Source organism: Homo sapiens, chromosome 2 (assembly GCF_000001405.40).
Source record: "Homo sapiens chromosome 2, GRCh38.p14 Primary Assembly".
NCBI classification, from domain to species: Eukaryota; Metazoa; Chordata; class Mammalia; order Primates; family Hominidae; genus Homo; species Homo sapiens.
This window is the reverse complement of record NC_000002.12, coordinates 24580178-24601898: the sequence shown is the minus strand read 5'-3', so window position 1 is coordinate 24601898 and position 21721 is coordinate 24580178. Positions and strand designations below refer to the sequence as shown.

General features: G+C 36.8%; 1 protein-coding gene across 15 annotated transcripts in view, besides 1 other annotated feature; it reads right to left on the bottom strand.

The window, feature by feature from the left end:
• NCOA1 (nuclear receptor coactivator 1) overlaps nt 1-21721 on the bottom strand; it is a 279449-nt gene that overhangs the window by 168804 nt on the left and 88924 nt on the right. For 8 of the 15 annotated variants that reach the window (NM_001362950.1, NM_003743.5, NM_147223.3 and 5 more), the window contains one exon: nt 17339-17423. The exons of 5 other annotated variants lie outside the window; for them this stretch is intronic. The gene's annotated coding sequence lies outside the window, so the exon portion shown is untranslated. Of the gene's footprint in view, nt 1-8177; nt 8230-17338; nt 17424-21721 lie in introns of those variants that run through there. 2 more of the 15 variants (XM_047446156.1, NM_147233.2) reach the window with 2 other exon arrangements.
• Nucleotides 15159-15208: an enhancer, noted in NCBI's record as "active region_15433". NCBI's record gives its function as "activates an Ori minimal core promoter by ATAC-STARR-seq in GM12878 lymphoblastoid cells {active_cell/tissue: GM12878}" and the evidence as "EXISTENCE:reporter gene assay evidence [ECO:0000049][PMID:35858748]".

Below are 21721 nucleotides of genomic sequence, written 5' to 3'. Positions count from 1 at the left end.
TTTGGGAGGCCAAGGGAGGTGGACTGCCTGAGCTCAGGAGTTTACGACCAGCCTGGGCAACACGGTGAAACCCTGTCTCTACTAAAATACAAAAACAAATTAGCCGGGTGTGGTGGTGTGTGCCTGTAATCCCAGCCACTCAGAAGGCTGAGGCAGGAGAATTGCTTGAACCCAGGAGGCGGAGGTTACAGTGAGCTGAGATCACGCCACTGTACTCTAGCCTGGGCGACAGAGCGAGACTCCATCTCAAAAAAAGAAGAAAGAAAGAAAACAAAAAAAAAAAAAAGGAGGAAGGAGGAGCTGTTTTCCAAAGAATGATCTCTAGAGTAATCCCAATCAATAAAACTGTCAGAAAAAGATGTGGCATTAAGGTGTTATGGATCTGACCAGATGCAGTGGCTCATGGCTGTAATCCCAGCACTTTGGGAGGCAGAGGTGAAAGGACAGCTTGCAGCCAGGAGTTCGAGACCAGCTTGGTCAACATAGTGAGATGCCATCTCTAAAAATTTTTTTAAAAACTTAGCTGGGAATGGTGGTACATATTTGTAGTGCCAGCTATTTGGAAAGCTGAAGTGGGAAGATCGCTTGAGCCCAGGAGTTGGAAGTTAAAGTGAGCTCTGATTGTACCACTGTACTCTAGCCTGGGTGACAGAGTGAGGTTCTATCAAAAACAAACAAAAAAAACAGAAGATGTTAAAGATCTATTAAATCCTTTCCTCCTGGTATTATTAAAAATGTAGTTTCACTGACTCATTAACTCTTATAAATGAACAGCATTTAAAAAAAAAACACTAAAACTATAGAACTGTGTAAAGCTTCCCATGTAAATTGCATGCATATTTTAAACATTCTATTTTTCTAGTAATTTTATGTGACAAATCTTTACACTACTAGATAATATTTCCATACTGTAAGATAATAACATGTACTGAAACACTGAAAACACAAACTACTTGCAGAGAAAATCAGTTTGACTTAACGAAAACTGAGGTACAGAATATTGAGGTGAACAGAATAGTTTTATTTCAGTAATTCACATTCTATGCGTATCATATAAATTGCTATGAATGCAATCCAAAGAAGATATTTACTATGAGAGTAATAATAGTAAGAGGCAATAAGGTTTGGAGGATGGAAATTAGAATAGGGCTTGAGAAACAAGCACAGGAATAAATACTATCACCGAAAGAAATTCCTATCTGGAAAGAAAGCAAGAGGATGTAGGCTCAAGCACAGTGACAATAGTAAGAATATGTATCTCTGGCCCAAGGAATATCCCAATTAATGCCATTGTCAGGACTATGTGCAAATAATGAAAGCAAAGGCATACACAGTATAAGTAACAACAAAATAACAACGAATGGGAAATAAAAAACATAATAATTTCAATGCAGACAGGTGTGGTGGCTCAAGCCTGTAATCCCAGCACTTTGGGAGGCCAAGGCGTGCGGATCACTTGAGCTCAGGAGTTTGAGACCAGCCTGGACAACATGGCAAGACCCCATCTCTACAAAAAATACAAAAAATTAGCAGGGCGTGGTGGCACATGCCTGTAGTCTCAGCTACTCAAGAGACTGAGGCAGTAGGATGGCTTGGGCCAGGGAGGCAGAGGTTGCAGTGAGCCAACATTGCACCACCACTGCACTCCAGCCTGGGCGACAGAGCCAGACCCTGCCTCAAAAACAACAACAACAACAAAAAAACATAATCGCAATGCTGCTCCCAAGAAATGCCCAATACTTTGACGAACTTCTGAGACTGATAGACTAAAGAAGGGAATGGGGAATATGCAATAAAAGGATTTTATAAAAGTGAAGCTACAGGGCTCTGATTTATATAATAGGACTAAGGCTTAGGCATATAAAAATGATTAATCGGCTGGGCTCACGCCTGCAATCCCAGCAGTTTGGGAGGCGGAGGCGGGTGGATCACCTGAGGTCAGGAGTTCGAGACCAACCTGGCCAACATGGTGAAACCCCATCTCTACTAAAAATACAAAAATTTGCCGGACGTGGTGGCGGGCACCTGTAATCCCAGCTACTCGGGAGGCTGAGGCACGAGAATCGCTTAAAACAGGAGGCAGAGGTTTGCAGTGAGCCAAGGTCATGTATGCCATTGCACTCCAGCATGGGCAAAAGAGTGAGACTCGGTCTCAAAAAAAAAAAAAAAAAAAGATCAATCATACATAATAAAATAGTAGAAGGGCTGTATATAAGTTACAAGATATTCCAAATTAATAGTTTAGGGAAAAAAACATGTAGTATATTTAAGTCATAGCTAAGCCTCCAACTTATGGGGCTTCCTGCTTCCCTATTTGTCCCACTGTGTAAATAAAGTTTTTAAAAATCCTACGTATAAGGGCCTCAATCTGAGACACTCATAAATCCTTCGCAGAAAATACATGTAAATACCTTCCCACTTTAAACTGCTACAGTTTTTGTTGCTTTGTCACAGTAGACACTGACTATACTGAGAGAGATGATTTACCATTTATGTGATATATCTGATATCTTCAAATATTATATGTTATACTATGAAGTTTATAATAAAAGTATGCCAGTTTCCCCTAGTAGAATAACATCCCTTAATAGGAAGATACCATATTTTGTGTCTCAGAATGTCCAGTATATTGGAATACAATGATAAAACCACTTTCGCCCCACAGAATATCTGAGTCACATGTGTACATCATTCCTTATATTCCACTTGCCCATCTTGGTAAATTTCCACATCACTGTCAAAATTAACAACATCATTCTTACAATACTAGATTGACAATTTAGGCAAAATCAGTATATCCTCTCTTGTGTTGTCTCCAACATTAAATCACAAAGTTCTGTCAATTCTCTCAGCAGTCTCTGAGAAGTCTCAATTCTCTATTTGGATTTTGTTTCTATTTATAAATCTTTGTCCAGGTCCTCATCTCCTGTACTTGGGCTTAGCAACCACTCTAGTCCATCATACATGTAAAACTAGATCTTTAAGAAATTTTTTTTTTAACTACCAGTTGGGTAGTATCTTGATTATTTGAACGATGAGTTCAATAGAAGCCCAAACCCCAGAGTTATGCAATATACCCATGTAACAAAACTGCACATGTGCCCCTTGAATCTAAAATAATGTCTTAAAATTAAAAAAAAGAAAAATGTAAAAGAAATGTTTTCATTTAATCTCTTCCTTCCTAATTAACTCCTAGAAGTTTTTTGTTTTTGTTTTTTTAATTCTCCAGCTAAACAAATTTAAAATGTATATGCAACGCTCTTTGCCAGTTTCTCCCTGTCCTTCCTTCCCCAAGCCTCTCATAAGGCCTGTGGTACTCTACTTATCAGGCTTCTCTGCCAACTCCATATATGCACAGCATGCATACTTTCTTCAAATTTTTATCAAAATTCACATCCTTTAAGAATACTTTCCTAAATTCTGATCATTTCTCCTTTAAAATTTCCTAATTTATATGTTATGTAATAATTGTTCATATGCTTTCATTTTTTTTCCATTCTGCCCTTAAAGATTCCAATATAGCAATATATTCCTGGCCATAGCAATGAATGTTTCTTTTATAACTTGTGACTATTCCTTATAATAATTTCAATTTTTTATAGCTAATTTCATTTACGAGAATGCTGAATCTTCCCACTGAAATTAATCACTTAATTGGTTAATTTTATGTGTCAATTTAACTAAGGCATTGTACCCAGATATCTGGTCAAACACCAGCTTAGCTGTCTGGGAGAAGGTATTCTTTAGATGAGATTCACCATGGAATACTATGCAGACATAAAAACGGATGAGTTCATGTCCTTTGTAGGGACATGGATGAAGCTGGAAACCATCATTCTCAGCAAACTATCGCAAGAACAAAAAACTAAACACTGCATATTCTCACTCATAGGTGGGAAATGAACAATGAGAACACTTGGACACAGGAAGGGGAACATCACACACCGGGGCCTGTTGTGGGGAGGGGGGAAATGGGAGGGAAAGCATTAGGAGATATACCCAATGTAAATGACGAGTTAATGGGTGCAGCACACCAATATGGCACATATATACGTATGTAACAAACATGCACGTTGTGCACATGTGCCCTAGAACTTAAAGTATAATAATAAAAAAAAAGAGATTCACATTTAAATCAGTAAACTGTGAGTAAAGCAGATTATCTTTCATAATATGAGTAGGCCTTATCTAATCAGCTGAAGGCTTTCAAGAGAAAAAGACTGAGGTTGCCCAAGGAAAAAGGAATTCTGCCTCAGGACTGCCTTCAGAATCAAGTTGTAACATCAACTCTTCCCTGGGTCTCCAGCCTGCCAGCCCACTCTACAGATTTCAGACTCTCCAGCACCTACAATTACTGAGCCATTTCCTGAAAATCTTCCCCAGCCCCAGCCCCAGCCCCTGCCACAAACACAAACAATACTCCCATTGATTATGGTTTTCCAGATAACCATTGGCCAATACAGTATTCTCCAGTTTAAAATCCTGTTTAGTGACTATAGAGGATCCAAGATAAGCCCTCATGTCTCACAATTGATTCATTCATTTAAAAAATATTTGCATGTCTGCTGTGTGCTACATTCTGAGGATTCAAAGTTGATTTAACTGATGTCTCTGTTCTCAAGGATTTGAGGGAGATTTAGTTGAGATAAGAGGTAATTAAAATAACATGTAAACATCATAAGGTTATAGGTTATGAGCTCAGGATACTATTCATGGGAACAAAGAGGAAGGATGTATAATTGAGGTTCCTATATCAATAGAACCCCACTTCCCATAGGTAAAACACTGTTGATCACATATTGACCCTTGGAAACCAATTATACACCCTAAGCATATAAAGTAAAACCACAAAAGCACAGTGTGTAAAAACAAACACAATATAAATATTACATTGTTAATATTCCTTTTGGATGATTTCTTTACATGAGCTGAACTGGCTAAGGAATCTTAAAATAGGATTTAGAATATTGAAGAATCTTGTTCCAGTTTGAAAAGCCAAATGGATTAACAGGGATTGGAAAGACACACAAAACCTCACAGTTCATAAACCTCAAGTATACCAGTTAAAATGAATATTGTAGAATGGCGTAAGTCTTTAACTCTTTGAAATGTAATAGCACATTAAATCATAAAACCTTTATTTTGAAATCATCTTAAGTATACACAAAAATGATTAAAATTTAAGTTTATTTAAGAATACTCTCAATTAATTTGTTGTAGCCTTTGCATTTGTTAAGTATGCCATCTTATATTACTAAATATAAAAATTCAGGATCTAGGTTTACAATGTGAAACATAACCTCTAAATTAAAACATTTAAAAAATCACTAACTTAAGCCCGACAGTCAAATCTTTATCAAATAGTACAAAATGGTAAATAAAACAAAGATTTTTTTTGGGCTTTGGTCCTATATTTAAATTAGGAGATTTCTTTAATTCCTAGTAGTCTGAGAATTTCATAACTCTGTGAGACTACTACGCTAAGGACTATTTTGTAAGAACTGCTGTCAGTATTACTGTATGGCATTTTATTCTTCAGGTTAAGTAATCAGAAAAACATTTCCCAATATTAACCAAACCGATATTATTAAATGAACACAGTACTATAATTTTCCACAAGTATTCTATAAGATAAATTTGCTTTGCTTTCTAGAATCACTTAATCACAGAATCTTGGTGTAGCCAGCCTCCATTTTTACAGATGCCACAAGTTGTGATCTACCCAATGATACTGTAGTTTAATCCTTGTCAAATTAGCAGGGGACACAATGGGGCTCTTTTGGTATCCCAAAACCAGTAAAACCTACATCTCCATAAGCAGGCACACAATAAATCTTTGTTAAATGAATAAATGAAATGCTCACAGGTCTGAGATTCTTATAGTCTGAAATCTCATGATCTCACTCCTGAAAGTCTACCTCAACACAGATGCTGTCAAAGACAGATTTTCCTCTGCAACTACAGGGGCTTCCATATACAGTGTAAGAACATACACCATATACAGCAAAGAGATGACACAGTATCACATTAACACTTCATGAAATAATTGAGGCAAATTATCGGAGATCTCTATTGTGCCCATAAAAGCTTTGTATTCAAATACTAATACCTGCTTGCCTAGTTGAGAGCTCCATAACCTCTATGCAGAGGCTGCAAGGCTAAAAAGGCCCTAAAAAACAATTAGGACACCAAAAACAATTAGGACACCAATTAGGACGCCTCATTGTGTCCCCTGCTAATTTGACAAAGATTAAACTACAATATCATTGGGTAAATCACAACTTGTGGCATCTGTAAAAATGGAGGCTGGCTACACCAAGATTCTATAATTAAGTGATTCTAGAAAGCAAAGCAATTTTACCTTAAATATTCTTTTGGAAAGTATGATACTTCAGAGGTCCTATAAAAATAGTTTTTAACCTTGTTTAGGTGATGGAAAGCGTCAAGACTCCAATAAAGCTACAGATATTTCATCTCAAAAGAATTCCCACATGGATAAAACTTTATATATAATATCAGATTTAATGAGCCTCTGAAGTGGTCCATGAAACTCATGTAAGAAACTTCTGTTTTGTAAATTTAAATAGAATTCAATACATTGGAGGTGTGCTAGTAAGTTTGAAAACAAAGCAGTACTTTCTACCTGATTCTTTTGATTTTTAAAAAACAAGTTATATTTATTTTAAATTTCAGACAATAGCAAAGATGAAGAGGTGATTTTACAACTATCAAATAGAAACATGGTTTTGAAGAACTGAAAAATATTAACTTAGATAATTGAACTGTGCTGGTAAATCAGAGTTCCAGATAAGTGACAATCAAACCATTATTATTACATAAATATCAATCCCAATTCTAATAAAACTATAAGAAAAATATTTATTTAGAATTCCGAAGTTAAACAAACATTTGGCCCATTTAATTTTCTTCAATGAGACAATCCATTTAAAGATAAGACTTTAATAAAAACACAAAACTAAGTATAAGCAATTGCATTACTATAATAGCTTAAATTTCTGAAAGATTAAACATCAATCATGTATTTTAAAAGTGAAACAGTCTCATCGCATCCTAATTTATAATTAAGATTGGTTAAGTATGTTGAACTACAACATTAATTTGTTCAGTATTTGTATTTCTAAGGATAAAATTTAAAATGCTTTCAACTGTATCAGGAAAGAAAGCTGAGAGGGCTGACTTATCATAGAGAAGGAAAGAAGTAACAATTACACAATTCTTTAGAGGTTAATTAAAAGTAGGCAAGTAATACCGATGTTAAGGATTTTATAAACCATCTGCACAACAAACCAAAAGCATGCTAATATCTGCTCTTGTAGTTTAGTTTCTGATGTACATCTTTTGTGCAAATTTCTCCTAGGATTTCTCTTGTCTAAAGAGTGTCCCCAGGGAACCAGCAAGAAGAAATTCTGTGATTATGTTCTGATGCAATAAAGGCAAAGACCTTTCTAATCCTGAATTTGAGAAAAATAATGACTCTGCCCCAATTGTGACAGCAATACCCCCATCAGGAACATGAAAATAAAATGGCTATAATTTCTGGTATATTCCTTTTGTCTTTTCAGTTGAACGATACCTAATTTTCTTAAAGTTTTTTTCAGTAAGTTACGAAATCATAATCGTATGTTTTATTATAAATTACAAATTACCATTTATTGAATTCACAAAAGGAAAACATTTAAATAAGCTTATGTAACATGTTTACAGCAACATGAATTCTGGATTCTTCAATGTTCCACTTATAAATTATTATACTTAGGAACTGTGAATCTAGTACCGTGTTTACTTGAATAATTGTACATTTCCTTCACATAAATTACACTGTGAAAGGGATCAGGAAATGAGGCAAATATCAGGATCTTAGTCCACAGTAATCTTTATAATTACAATTTATCTTCTGGATCCTTATTTCTGTTTATCAAAGAATGGTACACTTCCTAAAAATTGCAAAGATAATCAGTAGCAGAGTTAAGTTAGAAGAATCTAGATTTAATGCTTCTCTTCTCTTCAGCTGTTTTAGTTTTCTAAGAAAGGCTACTTAAAGCTAAAGATACATATTGGGTGAGGCCTTATAGGGCAGACTTCATATGTGAATACCTGTACGCATGACAACAGGAATTCAAAGAACCAGGGTTTTACTCCCAAAACTTGCCACTAACCTGCTTTTGTGACACCAGGCATATAACTTGTAAGGGACTTAGTTTTTGCCACCTGTAAAATAAGGATGTTGAAACGTGATCTCCAAGGTCATTTCCAATTAAGATGCTTGTGTAAGTCCACATTTATGTAAGTATACGAATAACAGAATTACAGTAAAACCATGTGAGAGTATGGACATAGGTATACATGTAGGAAGGACAAAGAAATGTGTAAAAAAAAATAAACATTCAATGTTTACATTTGGAGTTTCCTTTCACAGGCAGGGTTTAGACTTTCGATAAAGAAAGGCCCAGAAGACCCACTACTCTCATCCAAATTCCCATCATGCTCCTTTTATGCCACAGCTATACTAATATCCACAAGCAGTATAACCTAAGAGTGTGCTTTCCCCACAATATAACCATTCTCATATCCAGTCCAGGGTAGACTGATCCAGTCTATCTCAATGAGGGTTGGCAAGCTTTTCTGTAAAGAGTTTAATAAATATAGGTTTCCTTTCCCTTCTCAATAGTGCCATCCGTCAAGACAGTGCTTGCTGCCAACGCTGACTTCTAACAAATTACTTACTCTGGCCCTCTGACAAGAGCCAGTCCTTGACTCTTCTTGATCCTGACAAATAAACTCCTGGTACCACTGTATCAAGTTTTTATTGCTACTTAACTCCTTTTTCCCTCATTAATTCAAAGCTACAACTTCACGACTTCATCCATCTTGAACCCCAAATGTCAGTATTACTATCACTCACCATTGGCCCAGAAAGATGGTAAGAAAATAGAAACAAAAAAAGAAGGGGACAGAGACAGGGTAGGTTCAGGTGAAGGACAGGTGAATGGTAGTATTACCTCCCTTTTCTAGACTCTAAAAAGGAACCAGGTACTACGTTACTGTTAATTTAAATTAAAATGTCTACTTCAGTGGGAACAGAGAACATTTCACTTTATGCAAAGTGCTCCCTAATGAAAGAATTGTTATAACAGGGGGGAAAAAAACCTCAGTAAGCTTTTTTATTATGCTTTTATCTAGATCACTCTGCTTCCAGCTGTGAAACTGACTGATGTTGTTAAAGCTCCCAAGGAGCCTCTACAAGAAACCATGGTTACTGGTTCAAAACAGTATCAAAAAAAAAAAAAAAAAAAAAAAAATTAGGAGGGGATAGCAATTTGAAGAGAAAAACACTTTTCTTAAATTTCATCAAATGAAGCTACAGCAACAAGGAGTAGGTTGATGGCTGGGCAAAGGCTTCAAGATGATAACTTCTCTATGAGCCGTCAAGGTGCTTGATCTCTCAGCCCAGAAGGCCCAGCACCTCAAGGGATCATTTTACCTTGCCCAAGAGTGATCCCCCAAAGCTAATTTAGTTATTTACTATGGACAATATCTTATAAACTCAAATAATATTCTCTTCACAAGGTCACTGAGTTTGCTTTACACAGAAGCTTACTTGGAAAAAAATTAAGAGCACAAGGTTGCTTAATAAGTATATGAATCTGAGCCTAACGGTACCTATTGTTTTAATATAAAGCTGCCTAAGTCATTCTTACCAATCTTTTTCAAAAAGTTTTCATCAAATGCTCGTCTTTTCAAACCCCTTAGCGACGTTTTCAGTTATTAAATAATTCATTCCTTTCACATTTGAGAACCTATCATGTTTCAGGCACTGTATGAGACACTGGATATATCACAATAAAGAAAACAGCTTTTATGGAGCTTATAAACTAATGGAGAAAAGAGACATTAAATACATGATTGCAAATTGTGTTAATGTGCTAGGAAGAAAAAAATAAAAGGTATTTACTGGGATTTCAAGAAAACTTTTTTTTAATTTTTAAAGAGATCAAATCCCCACAGCTATTGATGGTGGGTAATGGATACATAGAAATGGTGATGGATTCATCATACTCTCTACTTTTGTATATATTTATAAATTCTTAAAATAAAAATTTAAAAATGAGAGAAACAGGAAGAGACCTGAAAGATAAGTAGGTGTTAAAGAAGCAAAGCATGTCAGAGAAGAGTGTTCTCTAGGCCAATAGAAGAGTAGATGCATCAATTCAGAGAACTGGGGAGCTTGGCATATTAGAGGGATTGAAGGAAAGACTAAAAGATAGCCTGGCCTCTAGGAACTATTTTTTAAAAGCCCCACCAAAAACTAAAGAACTCTCACATCCACAAGCTACAGATGGCAGATATTCCAAATAGTAATAATGGAAGCTAACTTTTTGAGCCTTCACTAAACGCCAGGCAGTGTGCTAAGAGTTACTACACTTTATTTCATAGATGTCTTAGAACAATCTATAAGAAAGATACAATTTTTTCCTAGTTTGCAGGGGAGGAAACTAAGGCACAGAGAGATCAAGAAACTTGCCTAGAAATGTCTGATTGCAGAACCTGTACTTTTTCTTAACTACAACCATATATACTGCTTACCACATGTCCAGTTGACATTATTATTATGTTTTACTTAAGAGTTCTAAATTCTTGGTCCATTTCCACAATTAGCTTGGGCTTTGTGCTTAAATTATTTCTTGCTCATTTCACAAAATGGGATAGTAGATTATATATTAAGGTCTTCCTAACTTTTAATGTACCTTTCCAATTACATTACTATTTTTTATACCAGAAGTTTATACTTACAGTATTTTATAGATCATATGATATAATTTAGACAATTATCTAAATTTTGATAATTTATTAATCATTCAACAAATACTGGTCACCTTCATGACAGGTGCTCCACTAGGTGTTAGGAATACAGTAGTAAGCAAAATCGTTCAAAATCTCTGCCTGCATGCTATTTATAATTCAGTGAGAAGAGACAGACAATAAATAAAACAAATAAACAATACAGTATGTTAGAACATGGTAAGTCCTATGGAGAAAATAAATCAGGAAAGGAGCACAGGAATTGCTGATTTCCCCATGCCTATCATGAGCAGGAATTTGTTGGGCACTAGGGCAAATAAAGACAAGCAATGTCTGATTCCCTGCATTGAGCTGACTACAGTTTGGTAAACACAAATATGAGGAATTCTACAAAAGACAAATAAACAAAGTGCCATGGGTCCACACAGGGAAGAGCTACAAGGCAGAAGAAACTGAGTTGCAACCTGGATTTTACTCTTAAAAACTAAAAAGAAAAAAAATTTCCTAAAAAGAATGTGAGACATATTTATTAAATCCACATTTCAAAATTTTATAAAACCTTATTGATAAATATTTTGAGAAGATTTGAAAAAATAGAGACACACTATTTTCCTATTTGAGAAAACTATAATTAAAAATATCAAAGTTATAAGCTTAATACAAATCAAATAACTATAATATGTTTTAGAAGCATAATCTTGTAAGAGTCTCTACTACAATTAAAAAAGTAAATGTAAGAAAAGCCAAGGAAGTCTTGAGAAACGGGAGTACTGAGAGTAGATATGCTCTCATGATTATGAAAAGATACTGACATGCTTTTCTCATTTGCTTTTCCTTCCACTGACTTCCCTCCTATTCTATGAGTAGCATCCATATATTTGGTAAAGTTTAAAAATGAAAAGAGAAAGAAATAGTTAATATTTACCTTATGAATTAAAGAAAGAATTTTACACTAAGATAAAAGTTTTTGAAAGTCTGGTTTTCCCAAAGAAGGAATTTGTTAGACACTAATATTTTCTGGCCAAGATTGAAAAGAGTAGGATTATAGTTTCTTCCACAGTACAGAGCAGATATCCCTTCTGCTCATGACAGTCAGAACATGGGGCCTGTCAATTAGGGTAGAAAGATGATATAAATTAGAAAAAATATGAATTATAGCCCCAAACTCCTGATTCTGGATGAAGGATTGTGGGATTAAAAGGTGAGACAGAGACAGAAGATGCAAGTGACCAATACTCCCATCATCATCTTTCAGGCAGATGGGGCAGAAGAAAAGAATGTCTGATGGAGTAAGGAAATCTGGGAGCTAGAACAGTCAGCTTCACTTCCCACTAAGACTGTACAAAATGACTGCCTTCCAGGAACTTCCCTGACACGTGGCGCGTGTGCGCACAAACACACACACACTTTCATACACACACACACACACACACACACACACACACACCACCAACCTCTTTCCTCTCCCTATGCCTACTCAACAGAAGCTGGAGATAGCCACTCCAAAATATATGCACAGAAACACAGGAAGATTGAGAAGGAATGTGAGATCAGCTCTGGCATCTCCCTTATTTCTCATGTGCCATGGAAGAAGGTACATTTAGGAAATGTACCTTAGGAAACTTCTGTGTGCTCTAAAGTAGTACGGGAAAGGTAACTTAAGATACAGATTGACGACTTTGCCAGAGGGATAAAGTAATTCCATAGCAAGAGGCCTGGAAGAGAGAATACCAGGCTCAGGGGGCCAAGCCAGACTTCAGGCTATCTGTGACACCAGGAAAGATGGACAATGCATTCTAGGAGCAAAAAGAACAGGTCTCAGACAGTTCTGGTAGTACCTCAAACGATAGTTCTGGTAGTACCTCGGTGGCCACAATTCCAGGGAGAGACCAGTAAGAAACCAGAAAAGACAGTAGATAGATTGAGGGTCTTGGTGTGCTTCCACCACTACAAGGTCACACAAGCCAACCCATAAGTCTAGATTCTGTTGTGGGCACGTCTGAGGAAAGAGATAATATTTGAATGAGTAGTATCCAGAAGCTGAAATATCCAAACACAACTATTTAAATTATTGGATAAGACCCAGTTTACCAGATGGGAGTAAGTCTGGTACTCTTCTTCCGGCCATCCAGTGACCAGGGTTCATCAAAAGGAAGAGATAAGAAAAATAAAGAAGCTATATTTTCTTTGCACACCTGAGTATACATAAGGTGTGATCCTACTACAGATTTCATGATGATTATTATATCTGAGAATTCAACAGAAATACCTTGCACATTAGAAACCAATATCACCTTAAGATTAACAGTGGACATTCAATTAAGATGGCAGAGTGAGCCCATTCATCTACCTCTTCTCCTACTAAAGACCTGAGGTCAGAAGGGCCTGGGGGTGTGGGCAGGCCACAAAACGACTGAGTGAAAAAACACCAATGATGGCCAGTACAACTCTAAAGACAAGTAAGTGTCAGCCACAGCATTTATCATGAGTCTAAAGTCTTTGTCTGAGGGCTTATAGTGTGAACTTTGAAATGGAGATAATAGCAGGCTAAAGACAATCTCAACGGAGAGGGGGGAAAAAGGAAGGCAACTCAGAACTAATCAGAACTCTCCCTGCAGAAAAATTCCTTTCCAACAGCAGAAACCGAGGGACAGGGCCCCGCTATTAGCCTTGTCTCTGCAAGTGCATGATAAGAAAAATGAGTCCAGGAACAGTAGCTCACGGTTGTAATCCCAATGAGACTGAAGTGGGAGGATTGCTTGAGGCTGGGAGTTCCACACCAGCCTAGGCAACATACAGAGACTCCACCTCTACAAAAACAGAAAAATTAATGGGTATGGTGGCGAGCACCTGTAGTCCCAGCTACTCGGGAGGCTGAGGTGGAAAGTTTCCTAGATCTTGGGTGGTCAAGGATGCAGTGAGCCATGATCACACTACTGTGCTCCAGTCTGGGTGACAGAATGAGATCCTGTCTCCAAAGAGGGGAGGGGAGGGGAGGGAAAGCCCACCTCTCACTCACCACAGCAAGCGGGAAGCCAACTGCAGAGTCCCATGGTCAGCCATGATGCTCAGTGGGTAAGACAGTATTTTGTAAAGGGGAATAATGAGCTGTACAGAATTACACCAGTTTCCAAGATTTCAAGGGCTATCATTCAACTATCAGCATCAAAAGAATTTAAGGTGTTTATGTGCCCTACTCTAGACTTACTGAATCAGATTTTTGTCCATGGGACCAGGAATCTACATTTTACCTGGGCCGCCAAGCAATGGGTATATACATTCAAGTAAGACAACCACTGATTGTGACCTTTACTTGAAAATACTGTAAAGAAGAAAGCTAACAATCACTGGCCACTTAATAAAAACCAAGAGAGGCAATAAAGTGTAGAAGTAGAGACACAATGACCCAAAGAAAATACAGTAAGGCAACAAAAATAAATAAAATGTTCCTAACTTTATTGGTATCTTGAGAGAGATACAAGAGGCCAGTATATGCACAGAACAACAACAACAAAAATCTGTTCTTATAATAGTCAAGGAACAAGAAGAATTTTGGGAAAATCAAAACAAAAATTATTTTTAAAATGAAATAATGTGACTTTCAGTGAATGTCAAGATGGAATAAGCCCTTTACAGCCTATCTCCCTCACTAATTACAACTAAAAACTCTGGGCAGAATACTAAAAGCAACCTCTTGAAAACTGAAAAATAACAATGTCAGGTGCGTTGGAGAAGAAAGTCAAAATATGAAGAATAACCAATATGAAGGTGAGTTTACTATTTTTTTTTAATCCTTCCTTTATCTACCACTTTGACCTGAGGGTGGGCAGAGTCCCAGAATTAGGCAGCAGACACACATGGCAAAACTCCAGGAGAAACCCCCTCTTTCTAGTGGGTGTAAAACAAGCATCTGTGGGCTACAGTGTGTGGTTTGGAGCAGTACGAGGGGAGTTCCCAGTTTCTTTTTTTTTTTTTTCTTCTCTGCTGACTCTGCCTCAAAGCCAGTCTGTTATGAAGCTGCACTACTGAGGCAGCACATCTGAAAGCCTAAGAGAAACCTGTCCTTCTGTCCTGAGAAACGGGAAAGGGTCCAGGGTAGTAGGAAGAATATGGGAAGAATCTTCACTATGTATTTCTCTGGGGCAAAACAGTGGGGGAGGGTGACACTAAGACTCTAAGAGAAAGAATAACCCCTGCCACTAGTGAAAGGACTAGGAAAAGAGGCTCCTGGGAGCCAGACAGCATAAGGAAAGTCTCTGAGAGGACAGAGATCTAATTCCAAGTTGCATATGTGTAGAAAAAACATAAAGAAGTATAGCAAGCTGGCCAGGCATGGTGGCTCACGCCTGTAATCCCAACACTTTGGGAGGCCAAGGCAGGCAGACTGCCTGAGCCTAGAGTTTGAGAGCAGCCTTGGCAATGTGGTGAAACCCTGTCTATACAAAAACAAAAACAAAAAACAAAAATTAGCTGGGCATACTCTGGGGCTGAGGTGGAAGAGCTATGGAGGCAGAAGTTGCAGTGAGCTGAGATTGTGCCACTGTGCACCTGCGGTCCCAGCTGCTAGGAAGGCTGAGCTGGGAGAATCCCTTGAGCCTGATGGGTAGATGCTGCAGTGAGCCCAGATCATGCCACTGCACTCCAGCCTGAGCAAGAGAGGAAGATTTTTGTCTTAAACAAACAAACAAACAAACAAACAAAAAGCCTCAAGCAATTCTCACACCTCAGCCACCCAAGTAGCTGGGACCACAGGCGCACATCACCGGCCCAGCTAATTTTTTTTTTTTTTTTTTTTTTTTTTTGAGACCGAGTCTTGCTCTGTCGCCCAGGCTGAAGTGCAGTGGCACGATATCGGCTCTTTGCAAGCTCCGCCTCCTGGGTTCACACCATTCTCCTGCCTCAGCCCCCTGAGTAGCTGGGACTACAGGAGCCCGCCACCACGCCCAGCTAATGTTTTGTATTTTTAGTAGAGGCGGGTTTTTTCCATGTTGCCCAGGCTGGTCTCCAACTCCTGAGCTCAGGTGATCCACCCGCCTCAGCCTCCCAAAGTGATGGGATTACAGGCGTGAGCCACCGCCCCTGGCCCCAAATGAATCTTTAACTCAATGCAATCGTAATTAAAAATCCTTCATATGTTTACTTTTTAATTTGATGAATATATTCTCAAGTTAATTTGGAAAAATATCAAAGAATAAAACAGTTTTGAAAAACTAATAAAAGAGGACTTTAAAGCTACAATAACATTAAAAATACATCATAATTATGCTGTGACAGATAATTAGATCAAAGGAACATTAATAGAGACAAAGAAATATACGTGTATATGAAAATCTTACATTGGGTAAACTATACTTTGAAATCTTGGTAAAAATGAAACATTTACTAAATGCTATCAGAACTAATAATCTAGATTTCTACATATCATTTATAAAAATTATGAAAGATTAAATACTTAAAAATATTTAAAGAAGACGAAAGACCAATAGCCAATAAACATATGACAAAAGGAAGTCAAAAATCTGTAACTTAAGTGGCATTCCTTTTTTAATCTTTTAGATTGCCATTATGTTAAAAAAAAAATCTGTGAATGTGTCTGCATTCATTGAGATGTATGAAGCATTTGGAAATTTCTACACTAAAAAAAGAGAAAAAATGTAGAGGAAAAAGTAGATCTGAATACTTAAACATTTCAAAACTTCTATACATAAAAAAAATCACAAAGTAAAAAGGCAAACAGAAAGGGTAAATGTATTTGCACAAAACATGACAAATATTCTTAATATATTCAAAATTCATATATAATGCTACAAAAATTGGTAAGACTCCAATGGATAAGTGGATAGAGAACTCTAAATACAACAAAGAAACAAATTAAAATGAAATGCAATTATCTACATGCCAATTTAGCAAACACTAGGGTGGGGGAACACCCAATGGGATAATGTGGTGAAGCAGGCATGCTCACTTGCTGACAATGAGGAAAGGCTGACACAATCTTACTAAGGAGCAATTTGACATATTAAGAAGAAAGAACCTTAAAAAAAGCCAACAGTATTATTAAAATTTGGGAAAGTCTTCAATTCTAGCCTCACATTTGACAGCTGCATTACAGGAAAAGTCACATACCATTTTGAACACCGGTTTCTTCAATGTAAAATATCAATATCAGTCACTAATTCATAGAGTTGTAATATTTAAAAGAGAAACAAAGCCTGTAAAAACGTCTGAAATACTGCAAAGCACAGGGTTGCCCAATGGTCTGTGAACTTTAGGAAGTTTTCGAAGATCTTCAAACTCTGACTGAACATGTGTGAATGTTTGTGAAAAGATCTACACAGCTTTAAGCAGACTCTCAAAGGGGCCCTGATCCAAAAGAAAACTGAAAACCACTACAGGCATGGAAAATAAGAGAAGGAATTTTCTTCCCAGTGCCCAACTGTTGCCTGACACACTATAGGCCCAAATTAGGAATTCACTATAAAAATCCAGATAGTATTTAAGATGATATTCAACTTACCCTGTTAATTTCTAAGCCCCTCAGAGTAGTATTTAGTGATTTCTGAGGAGATTAACTCATTCTCTGATATAGCTGTAACTGGAACCTGAAATTAGGAAAACAGTAAGTCAATCAATTGGATCTACTTGGATCAATCACATGAAATTAATGCAGTCTACTTTGGAAAATGGGTGGGGGGAGCAGTAAATAAACTTAATATATTTAAAGTACTATTCTGAATTCATTAAGATATGCATAATTAATATATAAACTACACTGGGACATTTCTCTTGAAGCAAACAAAAACAAAATTGTATATATTTTAATAAAATGGAATATAGATAATTAACATTCTACAAAATACTTCTTTTTTATCATTTGAAAAATAATAGCTTTTTAAAAAATTGACATTTAGTAACTATATTTATGGGGTACGGTGATATTTCAATACATATATAGAATGTTTAATAATCAAATCAGGGTAATGGCATATCAATCACCTTAAACATTCATCATCTTTGTGTTAGGAACATTCAAAATCCTCTCTTCTAGATATTTAAAGATACAAACTAAATTCTTGTTAATGATAGTCACCCTACATTGCTACAGAACACCAGAACTTATTCTTATCTAACCTATAATTTTGTATCTGTTATCCAACCTCTCCCAATACCTGCCTCCCGATTATCCTTCCTGCCTTTATTAACCACAATTATCTCTCTACTTATACGTGCTCAAATTTTTTTAGCTCCCACAATATGAGTGAAAATGTGCTATATTTGTCTTTCTGTGTCTGACTTATTTAACTTAATATACAGTCCTCCAGGTTCATCCACATTGCTCCAAATGACAGGATTTCATTCTTCTTTATGGCTGAATAGTATTCCATTCTGTATATATATCATATTTTCTTTATCCATTCATCTGTTGATAGATATTTAGGTTGATTCCGTATCTTGGTTACTGTGATATGCTGCAATAAATATGGGAATATAGATATCTCTTCGACATACTGTTATCCTTTATGTTGGGTAAATACCTAGTAGTGGGATTGCTGAAACACATGGCAGTTATATTTTTAGTTTTGAGGAGTATCCACACTGGTTTGCATAATGGTGGTTCTAATTTATATTCCTACAAATAGTGTATGAGTGCCCTTTCCTCCACATCCTTGCCAGCATTTATTTTTTGTCTTGTTGATAATAGCCATTCTGAGGTGAAATAATCCTCATTATGGTTTTGATTTTCATTTCCCTAATGATTACTGAAGTTTAATATTTTTTCCATATATTTGTTGGCCTTTTGCATATTCCTTTTGAGAAATGTCTAGTCAGATCATTAGCCTATTTATTAACTGAATTATTGGCTTTTTGCTGTTGAGTTTCTTACTTATTTTTGATATTAATCTCTTATCAGAAGAATAGTTTGCAAATATTTTCTCCCATTCTTCAGGTCGTCTCTTTACCCTGTTGATTGTTTTCTCTGCTGTGAGGTTTTTTAGCTTGATATAATACCATTTGTCTATTGTTGCTTTTGTTGCACCTGTGCATTTGAAGTCTTAGCCAGGAAATCTTTGCCCAGATAAATATCCTGAAGCATTTCAGATTTTACATTTAAGTCTTAAACCATTTGGAGTTGATTTTTGTATACGATGAGAGATGAGGGTCTAGTTTCATTCTTCTGCATATCCAGTTTTCCCAGCCCCATTTATTGAAGAGGCTTGTCTTTTCCCGAATGTATGTTCTTGGTGCCTCTGTTAAAAATCAGTTGGCTATAAATATGTAGATTTATTTCTGGGTTCTCTTCTGCTCCATTGGTCTATGTGTCTGTTTTTATGCCAGTGCATGCTGTTTGGGTTACTACTGCTTTGCAGTATATTTTGAAGTCAGATAATGTGATGCCTCCAAGGTCCTCTCCCACCCCTCAGGAATTCTTTGCCTATTTGGGGTCGTCTGTGGTTTCATACAAATTTTAGGATCTTTTTTTCTATCTTTGTGAAGAATGTCATTGGTATTTTGATAGGGCTTGTGTTGAATCTGTACATTGCTTTGGGTAGTATGGTCATTTTGACAATATTAGCTCTTTGTTGATCCATGAACATGAAATATGTTTCCATTTTTTGTAGGACCTCTTCAATTTATTTCATCAGTGTTTTGTAGTTTTTATTGTAGAGATATTTCACCTCCTTGGTTAAATTTATTCCTAGGTGGGGTTTTTTTGTGGTTATTGTAAATAGAATTGCTTTCTTTTCCAGGCTAGTTCATTACTGATATATAGAAATGCTACTGATTTTTGTATGTTGATTTTGTATCCTACAACTTTACTGAATTCGTTTATCAATTTTAAAACTGATTAAAAAAAGTGGAGTTTCTAGGTTTTTCTATATATAAGATCATGTCATCTGCAAACAGAGACAATTTGACTTCCTCTTTTCCAATGTAGATGCCTTCTATTTCCTTCTCTTGCCTATTTGCTCTGGCTAAGACTTCCAGTACTATGTTGAATAAGAGTGATGAAAGTGGGCATCCTTGCCTTATTCCTTTCCTTAAAGGAAAAACTTTCAACTTTTCCCCATTCAGTATAATGTTAGCTGTGGGTTTGTCATATATGGCCTTTAACTGTATTGAGATATATTCCTTCTATGTCTAATTTGTTGAGAGATTTAGCATGAAGGGATGTTAAATTTTATCAAATGATTTTTTCTACATCTTTTGGGTGATCATATGATTTTGTACTTCATTCTGTTGATATGATGAATCACTTTTATTGATTTGCATATGTTGAACCATTCCTAGGATAAATCCCACTTAGGCATGGTGTGTGATCTTTTTGATGTGCTGTTGGATTCAGTTTGCTAGTATTTCATTGAGGATTTTTGCATCTGTGTTTATCAGGAATATTGGCCTGTAGTTTTCTGTTTCTGTTACATGTTATCACCTTGGAGCTGAAGAAGCTGGCAGCCCGAAAAAACCCATAGGCCCAGACTCCCCCCAAAACCAACCAGCCAAACAAAACAAAATCCTGTTCTCTCCAGGCAAAGAATAAGGAAAGAGACAATCCAGACAGAGCACATTATACCTAGCCAAACATCACCAAAAACACAAAAACAGAAGTAAAAAACAACTCTGTGCCTGTAGCTCCCACTCCCACCAGCAAAGGTGAAGTAGGGAGCCTAGATGTCTGCTCTCCTCCGGCTGTAATAAGGCACTCAATTCTCCCCACAATGGTGATGTCAGAGAAGGCCAGTAGGGAGCCAGTCCCTGCCACGTGATAATGAGACCTCCTTTTCCACAGTGTCAGTGAAGACCACATGGAGAGCTTGGACCTTCACCTAGTAGTAACAAGGTACCCTTCTCTCTTTCTGCCACAGGCTGTTTTTGGAGAAGCCTAGCAGAGTCAGGCCTTTCACCATCACACAGTAAAGAGACTATCACCCTGTGGAGGATATGTGGGGAACCATAATGACACATTCCTGCCCCTCCCAGCCAGGGAGAAATCAATGTGGGCAAGAACTCCCATCCATGACCAGCAGTAACAAAGAATCTCTCCCTAAATTGAGTGTCAAGAGAGGCAAAGTAGAGAACCTGGACTTGTATCCCCACAGGAAAGTAATGAGGCTTCCCTCCTTCTCATGCGGGGGCAGGGCCAGAGAAAGCCAACTAAATCAGAACATTTAAATAAGACCCAGAGTGTCAGCATGTAATACTAAAAATGTCCAGGTATCAAATAAAAATCACTCATCATACCAAGATCCAGGAATATCTCAAACAGAATGAAAAAAGGCAATCCACAGATGCCAATACCAAGATGATGGAGGTGTTAAAATTATCTGAAAAACATGTTTAAGCAGCTGTCACAAAAATGACTCAAGGAGCCATTACAGACATACTTGAAACAACAAAATAACTGAGAGTCTCAAAAACAAAGCAAGATATAAAGAACATACTGCAAAGAAAGAAAAGATATAAAGAAGAACCAAATGGAAATTTCAGAACTGAAAAATAGGTAAAACAAAAGATGTAATGGATGGATGCAACAGTAGAATGGAAGGGACAGAGGAAAGAATCACTGAACCAAAATATAGAACAATAGATACTATCCAGTCTAAACAACAGAGAAAAAATAGCCTGAAAACAAATAATTAGAGCCTCAAGACCTAACAAAAGATCTAACGCTAACAAAAGATCAAGCTCTAACAAAAGATCTACCTTCTGCCATGGAATCCAACAAGGAGAGAAGAAAGTGGGCTGGGCTGAAAAAGTGCTCTAAGAAAAAAACCAGACAATTTTCCATGTTTGGCAAAACACATAAATTTACAGATTCAAGAAGCCGAGTGAACCATAAACAGGATAAACCCAAAGCAATCCACATTAAAGCATATCATAGTTAAACTTCTGAAAGCTA